This window comes from Homo sapiens, chromosome 2, assembly GCF_000001405.40.
Source record: "Homo sapiens chromosome 2, GRCh38.p14 Primary Assembly".
NCBI lineage: Eukaryota > Metazoa > Chordata > Mammalia > Primates > Hominidae > Homo > Homo sapiens.
Window position 1 is genome coordinate 201,401,317 of NC_000002.12, and position 26,078 is coordinate 201,427,394.

The following is a 26,078-nucleotide window of genomic DNA, read 5'->3' on the forward strand; positions in this document are numbered from 1 at the left end:
AAAGTATCAAATGATCAAAAGGCAGTCACATCTTGACTATCTCCTCCTCCCCTGGTAAGACAGGAAGTTTGGCCACTCACTTATGAGAATCTTGGCTGGGAGAATGGATTAAATTACTGATTGCTTTACAGTCTAATCTAAATTAAAGTTACTAAGGGGTATCAGTGAGGGGTTATGCTGTTATAAAGGAATTTAATTGGAATTCTGCTGTGATTATCATAACCATCTATGATCATCTACCATGTGAGCTAATGTAAACAAGGAACAGGATTTGAAGGACTTTTTCTGGTTCTGTTATGAACCATAATTCCTTTAGGCTTAATTAAAAACCCTTTACTTGTATAAAAATCTTTCTCCCATCTAGGTCTCAGCTATAAAATAAATTGTATGCTACATTATTAGTTGTATAATTCAAGCCCTGTATTTCTGCACTTCACAAGTTCAGGAATTGTCAATGTACCTGGATAATTTAGTTCAAAAGAGAAGGGCAAATATGACTCCAATGATTCCAGTCACACTAAACAGTATCTTAAAGTTAATAATGCATAACAAAAGAGGGCTCTTTTGACTTTGAACATGATACGTTACTGCAGAACATAATTCTGTGTTTGACTTAGACTCTTTTATTATAACTAGTTTGCCTTGAAGTGTGAAAAGGACAGGGGCTTTGGAGTAGAAAAGCTGAATTCATAAATTTTAGTGAGCTGGAACAAGTCACTTAACCCTTCTGAGATTCAGATAATAAATATGGAGGTGATAACACATCTCATGAGGTTATTAAGAGGATCAAACATGATAATCTACTAAGCAATAAAGTATTCGTTAACTGCTACGTATCATATAACTGTTTATAGTTACTACTCCTTAAACAGAACTGGTAGGTATGAAATGATTCTGACTTTAAATTCTCTGAATTGGCAGTAATTCATAGTTCCATAGTCCCATCTTAACACTTTAGGGTGCCCACGACTGAGTATGAAGGGATATCATTAGATATGTTTTACTTTTATCTGAGCTTATTTTCTCCCTGGCACCACTGACTAAAATGAATCTGGGAATTACCTATAGCTTAATTATTAATAATAGCCTTATTCCTAGTTAAAAGTAAAACAAAGTGCTGGCTTGATGGTATTGGAGATAACTAAAAAAGATTTAAACTGAAAATATAAAAACTTTTCTTAAAAGCTAGAAATAAACATTTGTACTCCAAAAGAATTTATATTTACAAATAGAGAAACTAACAATGATTTAACCACAGTGATAAGGGAAGCAGACTTTTGGGCCTAAGGAATAGACACAATATAATTTGGTAGCATAGCGGGAACAAAGGATTAAATAATTAAGGCAAATACTTACAGTGAATGGTCTCCTTTACTTCTGGTCTCAATAACAAAATTATGGGAAAAATATAAAATCAATATATCCATGCTCTAAACTAATTACAGAAAACCAGACAATGGTTGTAAACCCAAATGTAATATAGAGCAATGGCTCTTAAGTCCAGATTCCGATTTAATTAATTTCAGGGAGCCCTGTGGCGCTGGTAGTATGCAGAAGATTCCCAGGTGTTGAAAATGACCTGGAGCCAGGAATTAAAACCACCAATCTGGGGTTAACACCCAAAGCAAAAATCAGGCATCCTATAGGCTCAGTTAAAATCAGTTTTTATACAACGAGTTTAACAAACACATGACATGACTGACCAGAGTTAAAGATGAAGTGGCAGATTTAACTTGGAGTAAGACCAGTAAGTTAAGGATATAAAAACAACTGTGAACCACAAGTCATATATGATGAAAGGGGAAGAAAAAAATGAAGGACACAGTAATACAGTGAAGAAATGTTTAGAATAAAATATGTTTTAGTGAGGAAAAATGAAAAAATATTTCCTATAAATGCTTACCATCTGTCACAGCATAAAAATTTAAAGCTGAACCTTAAGAAGTTATCTAGTTTAATGATCTCACTTTCTTGTATGAGGAATCTTCTCTGAGAGAAATTATGTGGCATGTTCAAGACCACGAAGAAAGCTATTAGTGGCAAAGCTGGAATTTTAGTATGGAGATGATAATAACGCTCATCTCACAAGGTCATTAGAAAAAACTCAGATGATGTAAGAGTCCAGTAATGAGCTCTTTCCACTGTGCTGCTGTTTCTACCGCAGCCCCACTAAGAACATAAAAAAGACCTTGTCTAATGAAATACCAGCATATACACCTGTGAATGCATGTTATATAATAAAACAGCATAGATCCCAATTTTGCTTTTTAAAGTGTGAGCATATCTATAAATATCTATATTCAACAGAGCCTGAAAGGATATACATTAAAATGTTAATAGTGGTTATCTCTGGGTAAGGACTATGGCTGATCTGTTTTCTTTTCAGCGTTTTGCCAGTTTTCCATAGAACAAATGTTATTTTCCAAACAGAAAAAAAAAAAAAACCCACAAAAACCCAGGAACCTTTGTTAAAAAGTTTCAAAAAGCAAAAATGAACTTTAAAATGCCTAAGTATTTGTTATGGCAAAAAAGTTAGATAGTGCAATCAGAATTTTCAAATTCTTATGTCGAATGCGCAACCTAGATACTACCAATCCACAAAGGCTGGGCCTCTTCAGTTGCACAGAAAGATGTCAGGCACAAAACAGAAAGGAACAATGGATTTTTCCTTTTCCAATGGAAAAGAACAATGGATTTTTCTCTCTGCAGTGGAATCAGTTCTGTCTTCTCTTCCTTAACACAATACTCCTGATAAAGACATGCTGCTTGGAATGATTCCAAAAGTACTCAGGGCAAAACTCTTAAGTGTTTAAAGTCTTGGCATTTAGACATTGTAATTAAATGCTTCAAAAACCACAGACTAGTTCTTCACCATAATTCTGTAGCCAGGAATGTAGAGGTAGCCAAGCAGGTTGTCTTTGTTAAAATCAATCCTATCAAAACCTATTTTCCCGTCAGTTTTCGTTGTTGAAAATATGTTAAATGATACAGAAATTAGCAATGATCCTTGCTTATTTCCAGACATAGACTTCCCTAACTCTCTAAAAAAGTATTTATACATCAGGGAGACGATAGATATTTTTACAGAACAATTTTGCAACTTGGTTTCCAGAGGTTGTTAATTAATGTTCAACATTTTTGGTGTAATGTTTGGAGAATCTAATGTTCCTGAAAATACAGGGTGGGAGTTTAACATACATAAGCACTTCACTAATCCTTACTTTATGTTCTGTCCCTGCATAATTTCACATTAACTAGCTCAATCTCACATTATTTTCAGGATGGGAAACACCAATGATAATCCATTCTAATATCTGTCATTTACATGAGATGGTGCTTGATAGTTCTCTCATATGTCCCTTCTCAAGATCTAAAGTTTTTACCACAACTATAGAATTTCAAAAAGAATTCTAATCTTGCAGCACTCTCCAACTTTCCCACACCAAAACCAACAAAAACAACAACAAAATAGAAATGAAACACAAACAGTGCCCACATGGCATAGTAAAAGCTACAATAGCTCCTGACACCTACAGGCAGGTCTTGAGGTTTTAACCCTAAAGCAGTGACCACAGCCCTTGCTGCTACGATATAGCAAACATTTCTGCCTTCAAAATGACTGAGAGAAACTGATGATACACACCATCTAGGGCAGTCTTTCTCAACAGGATTCCAGGGGAGAATCAGGCCCTACAGACCATTTGAATGACAATTTTCTCAATTCTCCCAAGAATTGTACAAAGCTAGTACATGATGCATGGGTGATAAGGTAATCCACTGTATAAACGCTAAGTGTCTTAGGGTGTATAGCTTAATTCTCTTGTGGAACCGAAGGAGAGAGCTTATCTAAGGGAAAAATAAATCTGCTAACCTCTATGACTGGGTTTATGGTTAATGCTTCCTGAACTTCATCAGTCATATGTTCTTTTCTGCCAGTACAGGTTAATAATTTTTGAGGGCAGAGCCTGAGGAAAAGTATACCTACCAATTGGAAGTAATAATTTCTATGACCATATTTATCTGCAAAATTATACACTCTCTCCGATTCCTTAATTCTCCAATTAATGTCACTGTGAAATGGCCATTTGCTTTGGTTGGCAATGCTTTGTATCAGTGGTTCTCAAACTTGTGTGTGCATCAGTATCACCAGGAAGACTCTTTAAAACACAGGCAGCTATGACTGTCTCACCCTTAGAGTTTCTAATTTTGTAGGTGGAGTAGGGGGCCCAAGAATGTGAATTTCTAACAATTTCTCAAGTGACATTGATTGCAGGGGTCCACAAAGAACAAATAAACTAAAGGGCACTTTCTGTGACGCTTTGTCAAAATAATGACAAACTAAATTTATCCAGATGAAATTTCAGTTTGAAAGTTCTCAGCAATTTAGGCCGGGCGCAGTGGCTCACGCCTGTAATCCCAGCACTCTGGGAGGCCGAGGCAAGCAGATCACAAGATCAGGAGTTCGAGACCAGCCCAATCAACATGGTGAAACCCCGTCTCTACTAAAAATACAAAAATTAGCCAGCATAGTGGCGCCCGCCTATAATCCCAGCTACTCAGGAGGCTGAGGCAGGAGAATTGCTTGAACCCGGGGCGGGCAGAGGTTGCAGTGAGGCGAGATCGTGCCACTATACTCCAGCCTGGGCAACAGAACGAGACTCCGTCTCAAAAAAAAGAAAAGAAAAGAAAGTTCTCAGAAATTTAAACACTCAATGAACAAAGGGAACTAGAAATAAGAAATACTGTTCCTTCTAAAAATGTTTTTCCAGAAAAATCTCAAGCAAGCAAATTCTCAAACTAAAACGTCAAGAAAGCCTTTGGAGCCTTAATTTAACTTAATTTAGCTATTTAAAAGAAATATTAAGGACAAAAACACAATAGTATTTGGGCTTCTTGATATTTTAGTTTCTGAAACAATGTTTATACTTTTTTTGAGCAGTTAAGTTCTCAGAAACTACTAGAAATAAATTGTAGGAAACTGGTGCTAAAAGCAAGTTAATGATTACTATGAAAATGAGTATTTCACAGTAGACATTCTCCAGTAACAATCTGGCATTAAAACACCACAACACTCACTGGGCTTCTTGATATTTCAGTTTCAGCTGAAACAATGTTTATAATTTTTTTTGAGCAGTAATAAGTTCTAAGAAACGACTAGAAAAAAATTCTAGGAAACTAGTGCTGAAAACAAGTTAGTGATTACTATGAAAATGAGTATTGCACAATAGTCCTTCTCCAACGACAATCTGGCATTAAAACACTAAAGCACTCACTGGGAAAATGTCCAGGATCTGATGCAATCACCTACTTAATTCTAATTAAAGGAATTTCACAAACATATCAGTATTGAACTCATAAGCTTTTATTATAAATTCTAACAGCTACTGTGCACACAACATTTTTTACCAAATGAATTTTTAGAAAAGTAATTTCAGCCTTAATGCAGATTTTTGGGATCAAATGCAAAAAGGTCTCCACACTTCAAAGTTTAAAAATTCATTTGTCTTTTCTAACAGCTTGGTGTAAAACAGACCTATTTTCAGAACAAATCTGGCTCAGTCTCTCACTTAGGAATCCTTAAATAATGAAGATTACTATATAGGGTATATTTATTTCTCCTGGCATTATTAAAACTACTTATGTACCTAAGAACTATGCTTCGTTATGCTGACATAATTCTTGTGACTGTGTTTACCAACGATATTAATAAAGATAAAAGTCAAAAGCTGATAGCTTAGGATAACAAACTACTGGGATAATAAATGTTGACAGTTATAAAGGAATATTAAAATTTTAAATCACTTTGCTTTTTAAAAAGTTCCCTTTTCTACTCAGTCTGAGGAAAATATCAAGTAACGAAAACGTCTAAGTATGTTTGCAACACTAGACACTGAGAGTCATAAGGATGACAAACTTTCTGCATTCAGACATAACACAGAATTATCTCTTCCTGTGAAATCAGTTCAAATAAAAGTAGGTATACACTGAACAATGGCTACTAAACATCAGTGCTTTAAAAATCAATACCAAGATACCCATGATCATTACTTTAATGCACAAACTAAAAGAGTAAAAAAAATACTCACTCATGTAACGGAAAGTCTCTTCAGCAAGGACTGGAGAGAGAGCATCAGATGCATGCTGCCGCTGGTGTGGAGACTGAGTCCAGTCTTGATTTTCATATAGAAAGAGAGTGTCTACTTTTAGCCTATACTGTGGTAGTTGTTCTTCTAGCAGACTCACCAGCTCAACTTCAGGGAGATCCTCATTGGAGCAGACATCTAAAGAGGAGAGTCTATGTAAATGAATCCAATATATTTCAACTTTTACTAGGCTACAGAGAAAATTGATGAAAATTAGTTTTTCTAAAGTAGGATAACCAAAGAAATACTAGACAAGATCATTTCTCCACTGATTTTTATTAGTATATCCTAGTAGTATAGTTTTTTTTTCTCCAGGTTTTTTTTCTTTTAGTAAGAGAACTTCTAAAGTAAAAATGATGGCATACATTTTTTGACAGTAATTTCTAAAAAGTATTTTTAATTGACACAAAATAATTGAATATATTTATGGGGTACATGTGATATTTTGACACCTGTATACAATGTATAATGATCAAATTAGGGTAATTAGCACATTCCTTACCTCAAGCATTTATCATTTCTTTGCATTGAGGACATTCAAAATCCTACCTTTTATCTATTTGAAAATATACAACAAATTATTGCCAACTATAGCCACCCTATGGTGCTTAAGAACACCAGAACTTATTCCACCTATCCAGCTGTAATTTTGTATCTGTTAACTAACATCTCCTGATCCCTCCTTCCCGCTACCCTTCCTAGCCTCTAGTAACCACTATTCTACTCTCTACTTCTAGCAGATCAACTTTGTCAGCTTCCACATGAGTGAGAACATGCAGATACCACAAATCTGAATTACATACTATCTAAATATATTGCTTAGTGACTATAACTATGCTTTTTTTAATTTTTAATTTTTTAATTTTTAAAAGTTTTTATTTTAGGTTCAGGGGTCCATGTGCAGGTTTGTTATGTAGGTAAACTCATGTCACGGGGGTTTGGTGTACAGATTATTTCATCACCCAGGTACCAGGCCTAGTAATCCAACAGTTATTTTTTCTGATCCTCTCCCTCTTCCCATGCTCATCCCTCACATATGCCCGTCTGTTGTTCCTGTCTTTATAACTATGCTTTTAAAGTTCAGAATTTGTAGAAATTTCATATTTTCTCCCTATCAATCTATTTAGTACGGTTTAAAAGAGGTCTGTGTCTCTGAAGCAGCAGCAGCCTGCTGAATTTTTAAAAGTATTTTTAATTGACACAGAATAATTGGATATATACTTTTTAAAAATAAAGTGAAAGAGGTCTGATCTCAACTTACATGCCTGGGGGAAAAAGCAATACAAAGCAACCAGCAGAAAATAGTTCCAAAGGGATAAAATGATATGCTCTGTAATGACAAAATTTGAATTCTGTGGAGGATTCTTCAAAATCTGGAAAAATTACATTTTAGTATATTCTCAAAGTCATTAAATTTTTTTAAAAATTGCATTAAATTTTACTGAGCACTGGTACTGAAATAAGTCCTTTATCATTTTTATTTTAAAGAAGTGGTACATCTAAATCCCAAAACATGTGAGGTGAAGGAAATCGGAAAGGGGAGGGGAAAAAGTTTCCTCTAAAAAATCTTCCCTATCCTTCACATAACATAAATTTACTATGGTACAGTGATAGTCCTGGTCTGAGTCCTGACTCTGCATATACCACAATGTGACACTGGGTAAGTTACCTAAACTCTAACCCTCAGTTTCCTCATCTGTAAAATGGAGAAGGTACTTACCTCCTAGGTTATATGAATTAAATGAGACAAATGCATGAAAAATACTTATATTTAGTACAATGCGCCTTGCACACTGTGGAGGCACTCTATCAATGTCAGCTTTTTTTTTTTTTGAGAGAGAAGTTTATTACATTTGAAAAAATACGGCAGAAATCTCAAAAGTTTACTTATTAAATATAGTTTAATTCTTACAAATCTCCTTTTGAAAACACAATTCATATATGCTGCAACCTCAGAAGTTTGAATTTGAAATGAAATATGAAGTTAGTAGTCAGGGAAGTCACATCAGAGTGCTTTGTCAAATATCCAAACAAATCAGCATATACCAAAGTGACTCTAAATATATCCAAGTGAAGGCAGAAAAATACATTACCATTTGAGGCAGACCATGCTAAAATATAATTTACAACGATTAGTTTGCATTTAAGATGGTTAGCCAACGAAATGTAGGTCAAGTTAAATTTTGTAGTATTTGCTCAGTCTCTTTGTACTAAACATTAGTTCATCTGAAAAGTAACCTCGGAAAAAGCAAATAAGCTGATCTCTTTATGCTTATCATTTTCTCACTGTCATCTTAAATGCAAGCAAATCAATACAGCATCAAGATTTTTTACATATTAAAGTGAACACTAATGACTTGTGAAGGTAGACTGTGTACCATGTGGTACTTAAAATAGATGAGCTTGCAATGACCATCAACTCAATTTTTTAAATAACACCAAGATTCACAAGCCAAAATAAACATTTGATTAAAAAATTCAGCTATTCAAGATAACTCAGTTGTCCTTTTTCTCTTTGAGACTGGGAAGGGTTGGGTCTTTAAAAACCTGAAGAGGGGCCGGGCGCGGTGGCTCACGCCTGTAATCCCAGCACTCTGGGAGGCCGAGGCGGGTGGATCACGAGGTCAGGAGAGCGAGACCATCCTGGCTAACACGGTGAAACCCTGTCTCTACGAGAAACACACACAAAAAAATTAGCTGGGCGTGGTGGCGGGCGCCTGCAGTCCCAGCTACTAGGGAGGCTGAGGCAGGAGAATGGCGTGAACCCGCCACTGAGGCGGAGCTTGCAGTGAGCCGAGATCGCGCCACTGCACTTCAGCCTGGGCGACAGAGCAAGACTCCGTCTCAAAAAAAAAAAACAAAAAACCTGGAGAGGAGTTGGTAAGAGGAAAAAAATCCTCAGTGCTTTAAAAAAACTCAACTGGTTAGAAGTCCATACAACTACTATGCTGGCATGGACACAGATGTTTTCTGTCACAGAACCATTCACTGTCCCATAGAAGTAGTTCCTCCAAGCCAACTACATAAAGATGTAAATCAGCTCACCCATGATTGGAACTGAAATAATCCTTCAAAATAGACACCTCACCCAAAAAGATCTTTAAAATCATTGCTAGCTGAACTGCTATTGGTCATAGCAGTTGGTGGCTATGCAAAGTTCTGTGGGTTGAAGAAAGGATTACCCTGCATACCAAAGGCAGATTGTCCTATCATGTTCATCTGTGTTCCCATTACTGAACTGCCCGTAGCTGGAGAAACTTGAGGAGGTACAAACTGATTAAGCCACTGATTTGGTTTCTGTTGTGATAATTGGTTCATGCTAACTTTGGGTTTCTGAGGGCCAAAGAGATTATTAAGGGCAGACATATCTGTGGGTCTTTGTTGGGTTGGCTTCGCACCAGCAGGAGGAACATTCAAAGCACTGAAGTTTGGCAAAGTGGGAGGTGTTCCAGAGTCATTTTGGTCACTCCAACTGTGCTTGGACTACTGTAGAAGTTCTGGTTTGTAGTAACGGGCATGTTGAATCCTGAAGTCTGAAAGCCCATATTGACATTTAGGCCATTTGTCAAATTTCTCTTTGTATTATCAACTGGTGTAGAAAACATCATGTCAATGCCCATGGAAGGAACAGAAGTGAACGTACTTGAAGCAGAAGGTTTAGGGGTACTAACAGAAAGGCTAGTCAAAGATGACATATTATCCATCAATGTGTCTGTCAAGTCCTTAGTCTGTTTAACAGCAGCAATAGGTGTGTACACTTGGGGTTTAAGAGGCTGCTGGCCTTTCAACTTCTATGCCTGCTCTTGTTCTCTTGCTAATTTTTGTTTTTCTTCAAGTGTAAGTGATGCTCTTTTATGTTTATTCTGAAACCCATCCTCTTTATTTTCGGAATCACTGCCAGTCAGAAGGTCTGCTCCAATGTGGCTAAAAACCTTGTCAATTTGCTGATTCCCAATATTTGTAACTTTTGTCTCCTCAGAAACATTCATTTGATTTCCTATGTCCAAAGATTTCTGTTGTTCTTGCATTATATGAAGTTGCTCCAGCTTAGTCTTATGTTCAGACTCCAACCTATTCAGCATCTCTTTTATGATGGAAATGAAAGAATTGAACTGATTAAGATTGTTTTCAATACTCAGGGGAATAAGATGAGGCAATACTTTTCCAGTCAGCTGCTCTTTGGTGATTCCCAACTTATGAGTAAAAGTACATTTGTAAATGCCTAAAATACCCATGAGGACTGCAGACTCTTTGGATGGAATTTGTTGTAAGAAGGGTAGGATACCATCAAGTACCAACCACTTATCCAAGTATTCCAAAATCTTTCCTAAGCACACTAATGAATTTACAGGAACAGCAAGGGAAGACATTTGTAGACAGGCATTTTTAATTCTTGGTATCAAAGTATGTTTCATGATGGGTAGTCTATAAGATTTGCAAAGGTTGGAATGATGTTTAGACAGAGCTCCTGGTATTGAATGGAAGGAGCTTCTAGTGCTCTGTAAACCATGGGTAGAACACTGTTCTTTATCTCATTGGGAGGGGTTTTGGTTAGTAGCAAATCCATTTTTTGTAGGAAAATTAACAAAATCTGGATTGGCTCCTGCTGCTTAAACACAGGGCCAAGTTCAGGTGGAATTAATGTGACATATTCTTCTTTGGTGCATTCCTCAACGATCAGTAGAACACTGGGCAAAACAAAAGGTACCATGTCAGGGTTTACAAATTCTGAAGTCAAATCAAAATTCTCTGTACAATGACATGCTTGGGCAGTAGAACCTTTGGCAGTCCGTTGAAAAACTGTGATTTCTGAAGATTATCTCTTTGGAATAAGGTATCAAAATATTGCAGTGTTACTGCACCAACATCATCAAAGAAGGGAATCTTTGTCATTTGATCTGCATCTGGTCTTACAGTTGGAGTTACATTTAACAGTAGCCTTACATGTTCACGAACTTCCTCAGGTATATTTATAAGTGAACTAGATCCTAAATAACTCAACTGATCCAACTGCCTACTGAAACTCTTATAAATGTCTTGCTTATTGCCTTCAAATATATGTTTCCTTTTATTAAATACAGCATACATAACAGTTCCTAAAGAATATATATCACTGACTGTTTCACAGCTCACATAAAGTATGTATTCAGGAGGCAAATATTCAGGATTTGGAAGACACAATGAAGGTAAATTTGGGTCCCATTCTTTACAAGGAAATTTAGGCTCTTGTTCAGAAGGATTGGTTGATGATACACAACAATCAAAACCCATTATTTTCCAGGCTCCACTTTTATTCAAAATTGTATTTTCAGGAGTAATATTTCCATGTACCATTTTCACACTGCTATGCAAGAATGACAATCCTTTAGAAACCTGAAGCAAACCACATTTGGTTTCTACATCATAAAGTTTATAATCCTTAATGTCTGGAGATATAGGGAAAGGGAGATTTTCCCAGTTACCAAGAACACTGGCTAAACTGGCAAAAAACTGGTTCTGTACACAACACCAAGCAATCCCTGGATTCTTCTAAAGAATGCTGGACAGTAAGAAGTCGAGGGTGTTGAAGTCGAGTTAAGTGTTGGACTCCTCATTTTAGAGAATCAATTATTTGATCCTTTTCAAATTTTTGATATTTGTCAATCATTTTTTATCAAAGACAAAAACAGCCACTGCTTTGTTGACTTTTTTGTGCCATTAAAAATCTTCCAAGCTAGCCCACTGCCACCACTGGCAATGTGCTGACCAACATCAAATTCTCTAGTGACAGGATTTCTCATTACAGCACTAGTGACATCAGCTGTTACTTCTGTAACAGTACTCTTCAATTTATTAAACATGGACTCCATGGCTGCAATATTGGGTAGTTATAGTTACCTTTTCCCTCTCCTTCCAGGAGGGGCAGAACTGGGCCTCTTTTTCCCCACCCCCCTAAACACAGGCTGTTCCTGCTCTGCCTTCACACGTGGCAGCTGGAGGAGGGAAAGGGATAGGGAGGGGAGGGATTGGGGACGAAGACTAAGGGAGGGGGGAAAAGACTGAAAGACCTATTGTCAGCTATTTTTATTACTGTATTACTATTGAGTTTTTACACCTAGAGATCAAATCAAGACTGCTAAAATAAGGTTGCTATAGTATCTAAATAATTACAGAGTATTAAAGGTAGAAGACACTTTCGGAAACCATCCAATCCTGCCTCCTAGATAAGGAAACTGAGACTTAAAGATGGGTAACTTGCCGAGGACACTAGAACCACCAGACCTGGGTCTCGACTTCCTATCCAGCACTGTACCCATTCTTGTTGCTATCTGCCATTTACAGGACAAAGGCTGACAACTTGTCCTAGAAAGCAAGTTCCTACACATCATGTCTCCAACATACAGTATTAGTCCTACATATCTCCTAATTCCTCCAGGTGTCTAATCTACTTATTGTCCTATTTTTCACTCTTAATATTAGAAAGATCATGGGTTTTGGCATCAGACGTAGCTTCTGAATCTGACTCCTCTACTAATTGTTAGACACACGATTCATCCTTTCAGAGCCTTAATTTCTCTCATTTGTAAAATAAAGATCATTTATCACACACAACAGTAGTAAGAAGTAACTAAAATAAGCAATTAAGGCACCCAGGGTATCTGGCAGATCACAGGTACTCACTGAATACTATTTACATCACTACTCTCTCACTTGCACACCTATAACACCCCCACCCCCATCTCTGAACAAACTGAGCTTTTGTGTTTTTATGTATCTGCCACTATCTTCCTGTTCCCAGTACTGCCCATCATTTAACACCTCCCAAACTTAGCTGTTTACAAAAAAGGAGAGTTATTTCTGTTAACATGCTTAAAATACTAGGGCTTAAAATAGCGAAAGTACAGGATGTCATATCAACCCTCTCACTTTTAAAGAGATGTGGTATTTCCTTTGTGGGTAGTATAATGAAACATGCTCTAGCTCTGGCAAAGAACAACAAAGTACTGGTTAAGAAAACAAATCCTTAAGAGAGTAAATTCCTACGACTTGACCTTGACTTCACAATGACATTTTAATAAGTTTAATAAAAGGAGGCTGGCAATATCAGACATCCCTATTCACCCAGAAGGAGAAGCAGTGGCTTGATCACCACAATGAGATAGAGATGAGGCAGATTTAAAACCTTAAATATGGTTCTAAATAAGCTCTCAATCCTTACAGATCTCTTAAATAGGAGACCTGAACATATATCCAAATTCTATTATTACAAGTTCCATGTGATTATCCAAATTTTTCCTGCCACACATATATTACATAGAGATTGTCATTTTAATACTCAGGAAGAGAAGTTGACTATAAATACATGCAGAGCTAAAAACAGACTATTAGGTATTCAACGGTATAGTGGAGATGAAGAACAAAAGTGACATTCATTACAAGAGATACTAGTCCCTAGCATCTCTTCTAGACTAGAATAATTCCCTACTTCCAAAATGTAATATTAAAAATAAGTGTACAATCCAGGCTTAGTAGATTAAGCTAAATATTCTTTAGACTAGCTCTTCCACCTTGCTTCCATATTCTGATAATGTTCCATTTATTACTCTTGCCCAGGCTTGACAACTCCTTCTCTACCATTTTATCCTCCAAATGTCTCCTTCATGTCCATTTTTTCCCAGTCATGCCTACCGGTAAGATAATTAAATCAGTGCTAGAATCAAGCACACTAGAGCTTGGTCTAGAGTATGATCTGTAGACCTACAGATGAAAAACAAGCCTCAAAGGGTTAACCTTATCAGCAAATAACTTAAAGTCTTGCCAAAATAAATTTTAACACTTTTCCAAGGAAGACAACAAAACCTAAACACCTAACAATGTAACATTCATAATATTCACCAGTCCATACAAAATTACTAGATATGCAAAAATAAACAAAATGTAATCCATAACCAGGAGGGAAATGAGTCAACAGAAACAGACCCGTCATGACAGAAATAACAGAATTAATAAGCAGCAATTTTTTATATCCTCTATTTTTAATATGCTCAAAGATTTAAGGGGAAAATATGAACGTAATGGAAAGAGAAACAGAAGATATGCCTGCATTTTAAAAACCCAAATAGAACTAGAGTACAGTATCTAAAATGAAAGACTCACTAGATAAGATAAACAGATTAGATATTCTCCAGAAGAAAAGAACAGTAAACTTGAAGGCATAGCAATAGAAATTATCTAAAATGAAGCACAGAGAAAAAAAGATTGGGGGGAGAAAACTGAACAGAACATCAGTGGCTGTGTCATATCAAGCAGTCTGAAGTCCCAGAAGAAAGAAGAGGCAGAAACAGAAAAAATATTTGAAAAAATGGTGGCCGAAGTCTTCCAAGTTTAATTAATACAGTAAGTCTATAGTTCAAAGAATCTCAACTCCATGCAGTATAAATACAAAGAAAACCACATCAAAGCAAAATTGCTAAAAACCAGTGATAAAGAAGAAAATCCTAAAAGCAGAGAGATAGGAAAAAAAGAACATTAAAGTTTCATTCACTTGAAATGAAATTATTCATTTCAAGATAGATGACAATGGAACAGCATCATTAAAACACATGGACAAAAAGCCAATTTAGAATCATGTGTCAGTGAAAAACATCTTTCAAAAAAGGTGAAATAGGCCAGGCGTGGTAGCTCACTCCTGTAATCCCAGCACTTTGGGAGGTCAAGGTGAAAGGACTGCTTGAGCCCAGGAGTTCAAGACCAGCTTGGCAACATAGTGAAACCCTGACTCTACATTAAAAAAAAAAAAAAAAAAAAGGAAGAAGAAAAAATTAGCTGGGTTTGCACATGCCTGTGGTCCAAGCTACTCAGGAGGCTGAGATGGGAGGATCACTTGAGCCCAAGAGGTTCAGGCTGCAGTGAGCCATGATCGTGTCACTGTACTCCAGCCTGGGGAACAGAATGAGACCCTTTCTCAAAAAAAAAGTAATTTTATTTTTCACACAAGCAGAAAACTATGGCTATTCATTGCCAGCTAACCCATATCCCAGGAAATGTTAAAGTTAAACAGGCAAAAAGGATATGGAATGGGAACTTCATTCAACAAAAGAAATAATAGAATGCTAAATCTGTGGGTAATACATAAGCCTTTTATTTTCATAATTTATTTAATTCATAATTAGCAATTTAAAGCAAAGGTAATAATGTATTATGTATATAACATATGTAGATGTAAAAGGCATAGTAATAATAATATGTAGAATGGTAGGGGGAAATGGAAGAATACTGTTTTAAGAGTGTCACTTTATTAAATATAATGTTATTTGAAGATGGGCTTTGATAAGTTAAAGGTATGTATTGCAACCTGGAGCAAGCAGTGAGAAAAATAAGAGGTATAGCTAATATGTCAACAGTAGAATTAAAATAAAAAAAGTTTAAAAAAAGAAAATGAGAAAAAAACGGAAGACGGAACAAATAGAAAAAGAAAATAGGAGTACAGTAGACTCAACTAAAGTGATAATTACATTAAAATTAAATGGTCCAAATACTGCAAATAGAAAGTACAGATGATCAGACTGGATTTTCTTTTTAGAAAAGACCCCATTATAAGTTATCTGTGGAGTTAAATGTAACTCCACATTAACTACACAGTTAAATGTAAAGATTCAGATGAGTTTAAAAAGTAAAAACATGAAAAATAAGATGATACCAATTCCACACAAACTTTTTCCAAACACAGAGAAAGGCATACTTCACAACTCGTTTTACAAGGCCAGTATTACCTCAATATCAAAATAAAGCGAAGACATTGCAAAAAAAAAAAAAAAAAAGAAAAGAAAAAAGAAAAAAGTACAAACCAATAACCCTTATTAATGGGACTAGGAAGGACACAGACACACACACACATATACACACACTCCCTAACAAAACACTAGTAAATATAACCTGTCATATATAAAAAAGATAATATATCATAACCAAGTAGTTTTTTCCAGGAATGCAAGTCTGGTTTAAAATTCAAAACTAAACCAACAGAATTCACCACACTAATAGACAAAGGAAGAAAAACCATATGAACATTTCAACAGAGGCAAAATAAGTATTTGACAAAATTCATGCTAAAAATTTCTCATCCAATTTGGAAGAGAAGGATATCTTCTCAATTTAATATAGGGTATTGTCAAGAGACTTAATGGTCAAATACTGTAACTTTTCTCCTCAGATTGGAAATACGTCAAGGATGTTTGCTCTTACCATTTTTATTCAACAATATACTGAGATCATGTCTCATTCAATAAGGCAAGAAAAATAAATAAAAGGCATCCAGATTGAAAAGGAATATGTAAAATTGTCTCCATTTGCAGACATTATGGTGTATGTAGAAAACTAAGAAATCTACCAAAAAGTTACTAAAACTAGCAAGTTAAGCAAAGTTGCAGAATATATGGTCAACATTAAAAAAATCAATTTCATTTATATATAGTAGTAACACACAGTAGGAAAATGAAATTAAATAAACAGTGCCATTTAAAAAAATACTTAAGACTAAATTTAACAAAATATGTGCAAGACTTATACAATAAAAACTATAAAATACTGGTAAGAGAAATTAAAGAGGACCTAAGTAAATGGAGATATATATCAAGTTTATGGATTAGGAGACTCACTATTCTTAAATTATCAATTCTCTACAGAGTCTATGTAATTCCATTCAAAATTCCAGCATTCTTTTTTGGGAGAAAATGACAAGCTGGTTATTATTATTAGGGACAGGCTCTCTCATTCTGTTATTCAGGCTGGAGTGCAATGGCACACTCATAGCTCACTGCAGCCTTAATCTCCTGGGCTCAAGTTATCCTCCTGCCTCAGCTTCCCTAGTAGCTGGGACTACAGGTGCATGCCACCACGCCCAGCTGTTTTTATTTTTGTAGAGATGGGGTCTCATTATGTTGCGCAGGCTGGTCTTGAACTCCTCGGCTCAAGTGTTGACAACCAGATTATACAATTTATATAAAAATGTGAAAAATCTTAAATGGCCAGAATAATTTTTGAAAAAGAGTAAAGTTGGAGAATTTATATTATCTGATTTCAAGATTTACTATAGAATTACAGCAAATAAGACAATGTGGTATTTCTGTAAAGATAGACTTAGGGATTAAAGGAACAGGATAGAGTTCAGAAATAGAACCATACACATATGACAATGAAATTATCAAGGTATTTCAATAAGGGTAAAGAGACCATTTTTAACAAATGGTAAAGAAACAATGAAATATCCAATTGGAAAGCAAAAAACAAAAACTTGGACCCAAACCTAATTCCATGCTCAAAAAAGTACACTACTGACTTAAAAGTAGAAGTAAAAACTATAAAACTTTTTCTTTTATGTGCAGATTTCTTAGAAACGACACAAAAATATGAATTATAGTAGCAAAAACTGATAACTCCATCAAAATTTAAAACCGCTCTTCAAAAGACACCAGTAAGAAGATGAAAAGGCAAGCCAAAGTCTGGGACAAAATACGGTCCATTTACCTAACAAAGGACTTACATCTAGAACATGTAAAGAACACTTACAATTCAACACTTACATTTCAATAGTAAGATAAATTTTTAATGGGCAAATGATTTGAATAAACAACTCAAAATAAAATCTAGATATGGTCAGTAAGCACATGAAAAGGTGCTCAACATCATGAGTCATCAGGAAAATATAAACTAAAATCAGAGATACCAGTACACACCTACTAGAATGGCTAAAATCAAAATCACTGACATTACCAAGTGTTGATGTACAGTAGAGGTCAGCAAACGACAGCCCACAGGCCAACTTCGGCTTGCTGCCCCGCCTGTTTTTGTAAATCAAGTTTTATTGAAACACAGTCACATTCATTTTTTCATGTACTGTCCAAGGCTGCTTTTCTGCTACAATAGCAGGGATGAGTAAGTTCCAGCTTAGCAATAAAAAGAAACAACTTCTGATACTTATCACAAGTGGATAAATCTCAAAAACATTTTGCTGTACAAAAGAAGGCAGACACAAAAGACACATTCAATTTATATGAAATTCTAGAACAAGCAAACTTAAAGTGGCAGAAAGCAGATTAGTGGTTGTTTGGAACTGGAGGTGAGGGGTGGGGAGATCTCTGTACAAGGGAACTTTCTGTGGGATAATAAAAACTTCTCTAACTTGTTTGTACTGGTGGTTACACTGAATGCATATTTTTGTCAAAACTCGAACTGTATACTTAAAATGAGTGTATTTTATTGTATCTTCATAAACATACCTCCAATGATAATAAATTAAAACAAACTTTGGGTTTTGATGGGTTTCAGAATTCAGAATTTTTCAGATTTTTAGAAAAGTGGCACTGTACATTAACTGTATGTTATATAACATCCCCAACTGGTTTTGCAGCAGCACCTCATATTTAAATATATAAATACATCTTCAGCAAATATGAGTATTCAAACTAAATGAGTTAAGTCTAGAAACAGCCAAAGTCTGGTTTGGTGGGCAAATGAGTTTCTGAATAAAAGTGTAGAAAAAAACTTTGACTGCTCAGAGTTTTTTGATTTAGTCTTACAGATAAGGTGTTATGGGCCTGTATGTATGTTTGTTATATGCTGTACACCCCAAGAGTCTTGTGTGCCAGGCATTGTTGTTAGGTACCTGCAGGGTATACAAACACAGGTAACTCTGTCCTTACCCTGTGGAGATCAGATGGATATGATGCAGCTACTACTCACCGGGGGTTCAAGGGTACAGGGGAGTCCGACATAGACAGGAAATAACATGAAAGGCAGATTCTGTTAATGCGTCAGGGGACACAGGGGATGGAGAGATTAATTCAGTTTTTCCCTGAGGACATCAGACTAGAAAGGGAGGCTTGGGTTTCATCATGATAGGTCATATATGCTGGACTGAGGCATTTGCATTTTCTCCTATAAGCGATAGCACTTCAATATTTATTAAACTGGACTTACCAGTGATGCTCTCCGAGTCTCTGTGATTGCTATTCATGAGGTTTTCTTCACCTGTTGGTGATGTAAAAATTGCATTCTGGGATTGACTCATGCAGGATCCTTTCTTGCTTTGGTTGAGAAGGACAGCTTTGGTATGAATCAGAGTAAAGGAAATCCATCAAGCCATTCAATAATGAAATGGATTTGGTCACATGGATATTTTCTTTTAGACAGATTTTCTCTGATGAGTCAAATGACATCCGTAGCAACGAGCACTCTCATGTGATTATCATACTTTGGACAGTCATGACCTAAAACAAAAACATCAAGTGACTAGAACTCAGCATGCTCTTTAACAACAGGAATCTAATTAATCAAAATGTCCATCATGAAAAATGTTTTTCTAATGATTCATACAACATGGATAAATCTCATAATTATGCTGGAAGAAAGAAGTCAGACAAAAAAAGAGTACACAGTTTATGACTTCATTTACATAAAATTCTAGAAAATGTCCACTTATCTATAGTGACAGCAGATCAGTGGCTGCCTGGAGTTAAGGGAGGAATTACTAAGGGGCAGGAGAAAAGTTTTTGGAATGATGAATATGTTTATTATTTTGACTGTGGTGATGGTTTTACAAATGCGTATCAAAAGTGGTTAAATTGTACACTTGAAATGTGTAATTTGATGCATGTTAATTATATTTAAATAAAGGTGTTTAATTTTTAAAAAGATAACTGTTTAAAGTAATACACTAATAATATATTGTAGAGTCTATAACATATGTAGAAGTAGAATGTTTTGCAGTAGCATGAAGGCCAGAAGGGGGGAAATGGGCATATACTGTTGTAAGGCTTTTATATTACACATGAAACAGTAACATATGGCTTGAAGATAGACTGTGATAAGTTAAAGAAGTATACCATAAACCTGAAACCAACCAATTAAAAAACTCAAGAATTACAGATAATAAACCAATGAAGAAGACGAAATGGAATAATACAAAACAGGGTTTTTTAATCTTGGAAAATTAACATTTTGGGCCAGTTATTGCTTCATCATGTGCATTGTAGGATCTTTTACCCACTAAGTGCCAGCAGAATCGCTTCCCCAGACCCTCTCCAGCTTTATCTAAAATGTCTCCAGACATTGTCAGATGTCCCCTGGGGTGGGGGGGGCAAAATTCATCCCTGGTTGAGAACCACTGATAAAACAGATGCTCAACTTCACTCACAATTAAAACAAAAATATAAACAAAAAAAAAGTTCACCCACTAGATTAGCAAACATTAGTTTTATTATATTCTTTGCTGGAGATGGTGTGGAGAAAGAAGCACTCTTATACCCTGTTGATAAAAGTGCAAATTGGGGCTGGGCATGGTGACTCACGCCTGTAATCTCAGCACCTTGGGAGGCTGAGGTGGGCCGATCACTTGAGGTAAGGGGTTCCAGACCAGCCTAGCCAACATGGTGAAACCCTGTCTCTACTACAGATACAAAAATTAGGTGGGTGTGGTGGCAGGTGCCTGTAATCCCAGCTACTTGGGAGGCTGAAGCAGGAGAATCGCTTGAGCCTGGGAGGCAGAGGTTGCAGTGAGCTGAGATTGCGCCAACTGTACTCCAGCCTGGGTGACAGAGCAAGACTCTGTCTCAAAAAAAAAAAAAAAAAAAAGGTGCAAATTGGAACAAGCTTTCAGAAGGCTATTTGGCAATGTCTACCAAACTTTTAAATGCACACATGCTGTAACTTAACAGTTCTACCACCAGGAATTTACACAATGGATATACTCACGAAGTGTGCTAAGATGTAGGGATAAGGATGCCCATACGGTATTGGTTTGGGGGGAAAAAAAAAGCACATACCACACAACTGGAACTAAATGTCTATAAATAAATGGTTTAATAACAGTGGAACATACAAAGGAATACAATGTACTAAATATATGTGCATACTTAAAAAAATCAGGAACTGTCATCAGTAAAACTGTTCAATTCTACTTATTTGATTTATATCAAGACAGTCTCTGCTTGGCAACTTGTGGCTTCTACTTATAGTTAATTCATTCTCATGCCTGCTCTTCACAGGCATCATAAATATTCAATGTTTTACAAGAGAGTTACCCTCAAGAAGTAGAAAGGAACAAAGTAAATAAAGGAGACTGAAAATGGTTACTGAGGCAGAAGAATAGAGAAGCACTTTGAGCAAATCCTAGGGAGGAGAGTTTCAGAGATAGAATGTGAACAGAATTAAACGTTATACAAAGTCAAAGGGAAAATTCGGTTTATTTAAAAAGGGGTAAGGGACCATAAAATCAATGATAACTTTCCAGAAACCAGTTCAGCCAAGAGATTGGATCCAAAGACAAGCTGCAAGGTGTCGGTAAGTGAGATGCTAAGAGTGGAGTTTAGTGAGTACAGACCACGATTTCCTAACACCTAGACTTTCAGATCTCCACAGACTGGTAAAATTTCAAACACTTCTGTGGTTATTGGCATGGGGTTTCCATTTCTTACCAATTTCTATTACTTTGTAAATGATAAAACATTTTACTAAAAGAAAAAGAGACATAATAAATAGCAGTCCTTCCCAAAAAAGGAGTTTGTAATTTTATGTTGGAATAACAACAGCAACACCACCACCACACACACACACACACACACACACACACACACACACACACACACACGAGACAGAGTCTTGCTCTGCTGCTCTGTCACCCAGGCTGGTGTGCAGTGGTGCAATCATAGCTCACTATAGCCTTGAACTCCTGGCCTCAAGTGATCCTCCTGCCTCAACTCCCAAAGCTCTGAGATTACAGGCATGAGCCACTGCACCCAGCCCTAATTTTTCTATATTTGAACTCAGAAAATTTTAATAAATACTTTAAGATTCTGGTACTGATACATGCTGAATAAATGTGAGTGAACCCTAAAAACACGCTAAGTGGAAGAAGCAGCCACATGATTCCATTTATATAAAATATCCAAAATAGGCAAATCCATAGTGACAAAGCCAATTAGTAGTTATCAGGAACTAGGGAGAGGGGAGAATAGGGAGTGATTGCTTAATGCGTATGGGGATTCCTTTTAGGATGATGAAAATTTCATCAATTACAGCTGGTTCGATGGCAGTGGGTTATCAGAACTTATTAACATTAGTGTCATTAAAGTTGGTATATAGTCCCTCACTGCTAAATTTGGCTTAAAAATAAAATTTTTTTAAAAATTTGATGAATTAGTGGTGATGGTGGCACAACACTGTAAATACACTATAATAAATTTCACTGAATTATACACTTTAAGGTGGTTAAAATGGCAAATTTTACATGTCTTTTACTGAAACTAAGTACTGTACTATATAATACAAAGTATATAATACACAATTTTAAAAGTGATAGGGAAATTCTTAGATCAATAGTCATTTATTCCAAGTGTATTTTAAATAAAATCAGTCTTGGTAAAGAAAAAAAAGATTATATTTTATATACATAACTATTTTCTTGAAATATGTTTGCCAGTATAGTAATCTGTGTTACCCAGTGCAACATGAAGTAAAACTCTAATATATTAACTCAGATACTTTAATTTTAATTCCAGTTGTCAAAAATTCATTTTTCATATTCCAGGAAAAGTCCATTGTATGCAACTGAATTCTTTTCCACATATCGTATTGTCCAGAATTGTCATCCCTAAACCAGTCACTATAAAGGAAATAGAATTATAATGAATCAAACCAATAAAGAGTCACACCTTGAACTTGGAAGGAAGAAGAAAGCAATCTTCTCTGAAGTACACAATCACTGGCTACCTGAGCAAAATCTGAACTAGGGCCTCTGCCAACCAAGAAGGGGGAAATGATCATTTTTAGGTAGGGAACCAAATATCACCTGCTATGTAAGTCTTTATGTCACATATAATTTTTATCAAGGTCTTTTAAATTCTAACACTCCAAAGACCTAGATTTATAGTTTAGGAATCAAGTGATACATTTTAAAAAAACAGAATGGCAATGGAAATCTAAGAATAAATGTGCTAGTGTATAACCGGCTATCTAGTGAATGATCAGCAAATCATGCACTCGTTTGTAACTGGCCACTAGTTTATAACTATGCACTAGTGTATAACAGGCTATCTAGTGCATGGTCAGCAAATTTGGCCCACAGCCAAATTTGGCTTGCCACCTGTTTTTTTTGTTCGTTTGTTTTTGTTTTTTTTTTGTTTTTGAGACAGAGTCTCACTCTTTCGCCCAGGCCGGACTGCAGTGGCACAATCTCGGCTCACTGCAAGCTCTGACTCCCGGGTTCACGCCATTCTCCTGCCTCAGCCTCCCGAGTAGCTGGGACTACAGGCACCCGCCACCTTGCCTGGCTAATTTTTTTTGTATTTTTTTTAGTAGAGACGGGGTTTCACTGTGTTAGCCAGGATGGTCTCGATCTCCTGACCTCGTGATCCGCCCGCCTCGGCCTCCCAAAGTGCTGGGATTACAGGCGTGAGCCACTGCGCCCGGCCTGCCACCTGTTTTTGTACAACCTGTGAGTTAAGAATGATTTTTATACTTTCAAATGGCTGGAAGGCAAAGAATAATATTATGTAACATGTGACAATTATGAAATTCAATTTCCAGTGTCCACAAAGGAAGTTTTATTGGAATACAGCCACACTTACTTAAGTATTGTCAATTGGTTGCTTTCATGCTACAACAGCAGAGCTTAGTAATTTTAAGGACTTCATAGTCCACAGAGCCTAGAATACTATGTCTCTTTACAGAAAAAGTTGACCAACACCTGTTCTACAGTAGAAAAATAGTTCAGTCATAAAATAACCACCTACCTAAATCAAAGATTTCCTAGATTAACTTCTTAAAAAGGGTTTCCTTCCACATTTACATACTTGTAATTAGATCACTATTTCCACAGAATTTAGGTAAACTAAACAACAGACTTCTACTTTCTACATCCGTAAGTGCATTTAAATGTTATTTTCAATTTCTAAGAAAGCATTTATTTATATTTTTATTTTTTGAGATGGAGTTTCACTCTTGCTGCCCAGGTTGGAGTGCAATGGTGCGATCTCGGCTCACTGCAACCTCTGCCCCCCAGGTTCAAGCGATTCTCCTACCTCAGCCTCCCAAGTAGCTCGTATTACAGCTCCTGCCACCACGCCTGGCTAATTTTTTTATTTTTAGTAGAGATGGGGTTTCACCATGTTGGCCAAATTGGTCTCAAACTCCTGACCTCAGGTGATCCACCCACCTCGACCTCCCAAAGTGCTGGGATTACAGGCATGAGCCACCGTGCCCCACTCCAGAAAGCATTGCTTTTTTTTTTTAAATAATGTTATATACTTGTTTGTGAAGAGAGAAAAAGAGAGAGAGAGAGTGAGGAGGGAAGGATGAAAAGGAACAGGATAAAAGCAAAGTATCTCTCATACTGGTCCACACTGATTCTCAAACAGAGCTGCGGTTCTTTTAATCATATCTGAATCAAAGACCACTGCGAAAATCTAATGATAATTTTGAGAACTATGCCCACCACTCTGTTACATACTAGCTGATTTGATTATACATTTACCATTTATTTTAGTTCCTATTTTTGTTTTTATATATATCACATAGGAACACAAAAATTTTATATGTTTCGCCTAAGGACTCTACATCTTTGTTCTACAGCAGGGGTCCCCAACTCCTGTGCCATAGAACTGTACCCATCTGTGGCCTGTCAGGAACCAGGCTGCATAGCAGGAGGTGGGTAAGTGAAGCTTCATCTGCATTTACAGCCGCTCCCCATCACTCGCATTACTGCCTGAGCTCTGCCTCCTGTCAGATCAGCGGCAGCATTAGATTCTCATAGGAGCTCGAAACTTACTGTGAACTGCGCGTGCGAGGGATCTAGGTTGCCCACTTATGAGAATCGAATGCCTGATGGTCTGTCACTCTCTCCCATCACCTCCAGAAGGGACCGTCTACTTGATGGAAAATAAGCTTAGGGCTCCCACTGATTCCACATTATGGTGAGTTGTATAATTATTTCATTACATATTACAGTGTAATAATAATAGCAATAAAGTGCACAATAAATGTAAAGCGCTTGAATCATCCCCAAACCACCCTCCTCATCTCCACTGGTCCATGGAAAAATTGTCTTCCACGAAACCAGTCCCTGATGGCAGAAAGGCTGGGGACCTCTGTTCTAGAAAACTGCTCTTTAAATTAACTTTGGAGGTTTTGTTAATGGTTTAGTCTTAATTCTTGCATAGCAGAATAGAGAAAACCAAGTTGAACTAAGAACTAAGTCCATCTAAAGAATCATGCCAGAAAAATGCTGACTTCCAAGGCAATTCAGGAACCTGTTCAGCCTGCAGACTGTGCACCAAGTCCAGGGTGATCTGGCAATGGTATGTTCTTCCTGGAGACTTTTTAGATCTAAATAAGCCCTTTGGACATGCCCTGTCTAAATCTGAGCTCCTCAGAAAGATCAGTTTGGAGTAGTGGTACTGAACATAGTTCCATGGATGTGGCCTGACATTAGACAAGTCTGAATTTTAACCTAATTTACTGCTTTTCTGACCTTAGGCCCATTATTTAACATTTTTGAGTCTCATTCCTCATTTTCAAGATGGGGATATTAATAACCACCCTTTATAAGAAGGGTCAGACATGAGAACTAAATAAAAATGACAAATTCCTAGTTTGGTACCCAACATACAGTAGACACTCAAATGCGCACTCCTGTCGGCTTCCCCCTTAGCTTTCAGGCCTGATAAAAAGATGATGTCTTCTGTCTAATATTTCTTTTTTATTAAGTTCTAGGGTACATGTGCACAATGTGCAGGTTTGTTACATATGTATATATGTGCCATGTTGGTGTGCTGCACCCATTAACACATCATTTACATTAGGTATTTCTTCTAATGCTATCCCTCCCCCCTCCCCGCACCCCAAAACAGGCCCTGGTATGTGATATTCCCCACTGTGTCCAAGTGTTCTCATTGTTCAATT

At 36.6% G+C, this 26,078-nt stretch overlaps 1 protein-coding gene and 1 pseudogene across 3 annotated transcripts in view, besides 2 other annotated features; both read right to left on the bottom strand.

Moving 5' to 3' along the window:
- Positions 1–26,078, bottom strand: part of TRAK2 (trafficking kinesin protein 2) — a 74,252-nt gene that overhangs the window by 24,110 nt on the left and 24,064 nt on the right. For 2 of the 3 annotated variants that reach the window (NM_015049.3, XM_047445578.1), the window contains exons 2-3: positions 19,101–19,390; positions 6,087–6,281 (exon numbers count right to left, since the gene is read on the bottom strand). In NM_015049.3, coding sequence (NP_055864.2) covers positions 6,087–6,281; positions 19,101–19,191 — 286 coding nt within the window. In that variant the 5' untranslated portion in view covers positions 19,192–19,390. Of the gene's footprint in view, positions 1–6,086; positions 6,282–19,100; positions 19,391–26,078 lie in introns of those variants that run through there. The other variant, XM_047445579.1, reaches the window with a different exon arrangement.
- On the bottom strand, positions 9,004–12,192 carry SCYL2P1 (SCYL2 pseudogene 1; annotated as a pseudogene).
- Positions 22,963–23,463: an enhancer, noted in NCBI's record as "H3K4me1 hESC enhancer chr2:202289002-202289502 (GRCh37/hg19 assembly coordinates)". NCBI's record gives its function as "activates a minimal SCP1, AML or CMV promoter by ChIP-STARR-seq in primed H9 embryonic stem cells {active_cell/tissue: H9 hESC(primed)}" and the evidence as "EXISTENCE:reporter gene assay evidence [ECO:0000049][PMID:30033119]".
- Positions 23,464–23,964: an enhancer, noted in NCBI's record as "H3K4me1 hESC enhancer chr2:202289503-202290003 (GRCh37/hg19 assembly coordinates)". NCBI's record gives its function as "activates a minimal SCP1, AML or CMV promoter by ChIP-STARR-seq in primed H9 embryonic stem cells {active_cell/tissue: H9 hESC(primed)}" and the evidence as "EXISTENCE:reporter gene assay evidence [ECO:0000049][PMID:30033119]".